The following is a 6,000-nucleotide window of genomic DNA, read 5'->3' as shown; positions in this document are numbered from 1 at the left end:
CAAAGTCAACATACAGAAATCACTTCTATATCTCTGGTAGCAACTATCAGAAAATTAAACTTAAGATACAGTATCTTTTAAAATAGCACCTCAAATCACAGTATTCTTAAAAGTGAAACTAACAAAATGGTTCCAAGACCACTACACTGAAAGCTGGAGCACATTGTTGAGAGGAATTAACATCCTGAATAATGGCAAGCTACACCATGCTGATGAGTTAGAACATTTGATAATTTTTTTTAATTTTTATTTAATTTTTTATTTTTTGAGACGGAGCCTTGCTCCGTCGCCAGGCTGGAGTGCAGTGGCATGATCTCGGCTGACTGCAACCTCCACCTTCCAGGTTCAAGCAATCCTCCTGCCTCAGCCTCCCGAGTAGCTGGGACTACAGGCATGTGCCACCACGCTTAGCTAATTTTTGTATTTTTAGTAGAAACAGGGTTTCACCATGTTGGCCAGGCTGGTCTCGAACTCTTGACCTCAAGTGATCCACCCGCCTTGGCCTCCCAAAGTGCTGGGATTACAGGTGTGAGCCCCCGTGCCTGATCAGAACATCTGATAATTTAAAGAAGTCAATTCTTCCCCAAATCAGGAGCCCAGGTGCTGGGGCCTGGGAGTGCACAGTGCTTTTCCTTCCTAGACCCATCTTGTTACTGGGGGTCCTGGTCACCCTAGAAAGGGGACTGTTTCCTGTTCCAAGTCATGAAGCTAATATGTGAAACCAACAGTGAGTATTGAGCAGTGCAGGCTTCATTCAACAGCTACAGGATTGGGGAAGTGGGAGCTGGGCTTACAAATCAACTTCTCAGCTCCTGAGAACTGGGAAGTTACAGATATAGGGTATCATTCTTGAAGGGGCTGAACGTTAAGAGCAAGGGGAGGAATATTCGTGCTTTGTCTTGGGAAGGGATGAAGATTTTCTTTTTCTTTTTTTTTTTTTTTTTGAGACGGAGTCTCACTCTGTCGCCAGGCTGGAGTGCAGTGGCACAGTCTAGGCTCACTGCAACCTCTGCCTCCCAGGTTCAAACGATTCCTCAGCCTCAGCCTCCTGAGTAGCTGGGACTACAGGTGCGTGCCACCACGCCCAGCTAATTTTTGTATTTTTAGTAGAGACAGGATTTCACCATGTTGGCCAGGATGGTCTCGATCTCTAGACCTCGTGATCCTCCCGCCTCAGCCTCTCAAAGTGCTGGGATTACAGGTATGAGCCACTGCGCCCAGCCCTGCTGCCTGTCTTTTAAGGACCCTTGCAATTACATTGAAGGTCCACTTAGGTAATTCAAAATGATCTCCCCATCTTGAGAATCTTAATCACACCATCAAAGTCTCTCTTGCCACAGGTCACATTCACAGGTTCTAGGAATTAGGGTCTGTATAGCTTTGCAAGTCATTATTAAACACGCTGCGATTAAATATCCGTCTTTTAGGGGACCTGTGCCTCTGGGTTATGGCATTCACAAGTGATTCTCAGCTTCTCTCCATTCATTTCAGGTGAGACAGGAAGTCTAGAATGTGCCGTGCTGGATTCAGGAGAAAATCTCCTCCTCCTCGTTCCTCCTTCTCCTTCTTTTTTTTGAGATGGGGTTTCTTGCCATGCTGACCGGGCTGGTCTTGAACTCCTGGCCTCCAGTGTTCCTCTCAACTCAGCCTCCCAAAGTGCTAGGATTACAGGCACGAGCCACCATGCCCGGCCAGGAGAAATCCCTTCTTCCAGGTGGGAGAAGGTACCAATAAATTCTTTATCCCTGGAGAATAGGCCTGTGTTGGGGAGAATGCTCTGGGTATACTTAACAACAGTTACTCTTCCTTCTCCCTACCAGGGCTATGGGCTAGGGGGCCTTTCTGGGCTCTTCACTGGTAGAGTTACTGGAGGTAAAATCCACGAAAGTGTGGGGACTCCTAAGACTGACACCTGTAGAAATTTATCATTCTTGAGCTAATTGTTACCCAGCCTGCAGCAACTTGTCAGAATTACCATGCAAATGTCTTCACCAGTTAGTGACTCCAGCAGCTTCTGCCCTGTGTAAATGGATCTCATTAGTAACTCTCTGGATTTGCCAGTGTCTCCAGACTTGGGGATGGTAATTCACTGTGTTACTGCAGTTCTTTAGACGTGTCTAAGAAAAGCTGTTGATTCTCAGTTTGTTCAGCCTTTTCTTGTTGTAAGAACAAAAGTGACAACTTCGAAGTTCTTCTCATGTCCGAGCAGAGACAAGAAGTCTTATTCTATTTTATTTTCCTTCTTCTTCTTCTTTTTTTTTTTTTGTTGTACATTTCCGTTGGAGGCTTGGCCTTGCGCATTAATACTTTGGGAATGTGTCTCTTCAAGTTTAACGTCTGTAATGTGCCAAAAATGCTGAGCTCACTGGGTCCAGCAGGGGGAGCCCTTGGGCTTTGGTTTCCTTTTCTTTCTCAAGGGAGCTTGACCTCTGCTGATGAGCCAAAAAGAGAGACATCCGATATCTTTTGTTTGGTAGGTCCAGTGCCCCTGAATCAAACCTCTGCATGGTCAAGGCAGTTACGGCAAATGAGGGAAGTGGATTTGTGTAAGGAAAACAACTGGGCAAGTATTCCGACAAATCGCACCTGGACTTTGGCTTTAGTAGAGGGAGATGATAGCACATGGTGGGGAGTGCGTCAAAGTAAAGGTGATTGGTTCTTGCTCAGCCTCGGCTGATCGCTACATGTGAGGATACCACATCTTCCTATTTTCCAAGAAAGTCGGGGCTTTCATGTCAGTGTGAGATTGTCTTCCAATTTTTTCTTTTTCTTTTTCTTTTCTTTCTTTCTTTTCTTTCTTTCCTTTCTTTCTTTCTTTTTCTTTCTTTCTTTCTTTCTTTTCTTTCCTTCTTTCTTTTCTTTCTTTCTTTCTTTTTCTTTTCTTTCCTTCTTTCTTTTCTTTCTTTCTTTCTTTCTTTCTTTCTTTCTTTCTTTCTTTCTTTCTTTCCTTTCCTTCTTTCTTTTCTTTCTTTCTTTTTTTTTTTTTTTTGAGACAAAGTGTCGCTCTGTCTCCCAGGCTGGAATGCAGTGGCATGCTCACTGCCTACCAAATAGCTGGATTTACAGGCGTGTGCCACCACACATGGCTATTTTTGTATTTTTAGTAGAGACGGGGTTTCGCCATGTGGGCCAGACTGGTCTTGAACTGCTGACCTCAGATGATCCGCCCACCTCGGCTCCCAAAGTGCTGGGATTACAGGCATGAGCCACTGTGCCCGGCCCAATATTTTAGTGGTGTAAATTAGTTAAATATTTCCAAACCATCCCAGTCAAACAAAATGCGAAGAGGAGCCAGACCCTGCCTGCTCACTGGAAGCCAAGTCAAGGGGAGAGGGACTTTTCTTTTCTTTTTTTTTTTTTGAGATGGAATTTCACTCTTGTTGCCCAGGCTGGACTGCAGTGGTGCGATCTTGGCTCACTGCAACCTCTGTCTCCCAGGTTCAAGCGATTCTTCTGCCTCAGCCTCCCAAATAGCTGGGATTATAGGCATGCACCACCACGCTTGGCTAATTTTTTTTTTTTTTTGAGATGGAGTCTTGCTCTGTCACCCGGGCTAGAGTGCAGTGGCGCGGTCTCGGCTCACTGTAAGCTCTGCCTCCCGGGTTCATGCCATTCTCCTGCCTCAGCCTCCCGCGTAGCTGGGACTACAGGCACCCGCCACCACACCTGGCTAATTTTTTGTATTTTTAGTAGAGACGGAGTTTCACCATGTTAGCCAGGATGGTCTCGATCTCCTGACCTCATGATCCGCCCGCCTTGGCCTCCCAAAGTGTAATTTTGTATTTTTAGTGGAGACGGGGTTTCACCATGTTGGTCAGGCTGGTCTCGAACTCTTGTCCTCAAGTGATCCACCTGCCTCAGGAGAGAGACTCTTTACAGGTGCCTGGTGTCTTCTTCAGCCTTGATGCCACCACTGTTCAAACATGTATCCCATCCTTCCTGTGGTCTATACCTATGCTAGTTGGAGTCCTTCATCATTTCCTGTCCATACTTCAGCTTCACAACATTGTTTCACATTCTCAGACGCGGGCCGGGGGAGGGGGGTGGGGAGGTTCTGCCTTTGTTCTCAGTTCCCCTTCCCTACCTTCAATGATGTCCACATGATGGTGATACCAAACTGATATCCTCAAGGATTTTTGCATTGTGCAGGGTGCAAACCAGAGATCCCCCAATGCTGCACCCTTCCAGGATTTTAAAGTCTAAAGGAAATAAATGGAACCCAAGCCACAGAAGTACAGTGAATCCCAAACTTCCCACCCTGTACATTATTTGGGAAGATTACGGTAGATAACGGTATTCTCCTAATTGTCATTTGCACAGTGCTGTTCTTTCCTCCTGACATGGGAACAAACACTTCCTTCTTGCATTCCTCGGTCCTCTTAATCCAGTGATATTGTGTAAAACATACAGAAAGTTTGGGGAAAGCAGTAGTGAATGGTCCCAAAAGACGTGTCAAAAATGCTGAGCTCACCAGGTCCAGTAGGCAGAGCCCTAACAGAGCAACCTACATGGGACATTAATCTCCACCATCCATCTCCACGCCACAGAACCTGGTACCGGCTGTATGTCTGCTGTCACCAGGCTGCTGGGGTCCCATCTATCAAAAGAGAACACCAGCTCATGTCCCCACCACTTCCATTGCCATCAAGACCAGGACATTTGCTGTCTTTTCTCTCTCAGCCACAATCTTAGGATTCACATTATTCTATTATGCAGAGAAAATTTAGCCTGTTCTTCAGCTCACCCTCCAGGCTAGTCCTGGGCTTACTGTTTAGACACCCAAAAAGGTGATCGATTTGTTTTGAAAAACAAGTATATAGGTCTTCTCCCTGAAATAAATTTTGTATCTCTTTTTGAATGTGGAAAATTGCTCTCCTACCCTGTGAGAGCCTGAATATACATGCAGAAATGGCCAGATCATATATAAAACTAGAACTCTGACTCCTAATTTGCAGCAACCAGCTGTGAAAAGCCAGCCCATCATCCACAGTCACCAGCTCAGGAAGCCAGGCTACTCTCTATAAACCAGACTTGTCTCTGGTAACCTGTCCAGGAAGCTAAACAATAATCCCTGTAACGATTGGCCCTAAATTGGCCTGGGACTTGATTAATAACTGACAGCTTCCCTAATTTCTGTCCCCACTTTCTACTTAGGACCAAATCAGAGAAAGTGGATATGGTTTCTTAACCCAATCATGTAGGATTACCTGCTTCTAGCTGGCTCACCTACAGCTTCCCCAGGCCAATAGCCTCCAATCAGGACACACCTGAAGTTTTCTCTTTTCCCCACTATGAAGCTCTCCCACTCCACTGCCTGCCTGTGAGTCTCTGCCAGAACACAAATAATGGTGGCTGACTCTCTTGTCATAGCAAGAACTGAATACATAGCCTTTCCTTGTTCTCATTTAGTTGTTCTTTATTTTTACAACTGGTTTTGATTATTTTAATTATTAATTAATAAATTAATTAATTTTGGAGACAGGGTTGCATCTCTCTCTGTCGTCCAGGCTGGAATGTAGTGGCATGATCATAGCTCACTGCAGCCTTGACCTCTGGCCTCAAGCAATCCTCCTGCCTCAGCCTCCTGAGTAGCTGCAACTACATGCATGCACCACTACACCTGGCTAATTTTGTATTTTTTAATTTTAATTTTTAGTTTAATTTTTAAGTTTTTAAATTTTTGTGGATACATAGTAGGTGTATATATTTCTGGGTTACACAAGATATTTTGATACAGGCATGCAACATGTAACAATCACATCAAGGTAAATGAAGTATCCATCACCTCATGCATTTATCCTTTGTGTTATAAACAATCCAATTATACTTTTTAAGTTATTTTAAAATATACAATTAAATTATTTTTGACTATAATCACCCTGTGGTGCTATCAAATATGAGGTCTCATTTCATCTTTCCAATTTTTTTGTACCCATTAACCATCCCCACCTTCTCCCCTCCCCCATGCCCTCTATCCTCCCCAGTCTCTGGTAACCCATC

The 6,000-nt window shown here is 44.6% G+C and overlaps 1 annotated feature.

The window, feature by feature from the left end:
• Positions 2,294 to 2,403: an enhancer, noted in NCBI's record as "active region_15027". NCBI's record gives its function as "activates an Ori minimal core promoter by ATAC-STARR-seq in GM12878 lymphoblastoid cells {active_cell/tissue: GM12878}" and the evidence as "EXISTENCE:reporter gene assay evidence [ECO:0000049][PMID:35858748]".

This window comes from Homo sapiens, chromosome 19 (genome assembly GCF_000001405.40).
Source record: "Homo sapiens chromosome 19, GRCh38.p14 Primary Assembly".
In the NCBI taxonomy this organism is placed as follows: Eukaryota; Metazoa; Chordata; class Mammalia; order Primates; family Hominidae; genus Homo; species Homo sapiens.
The sequence above is the reverse complement of the archived record's forward strand: the minus strand, read 5'-3'. Positions and strand labels throughout refer to the sequence as shown.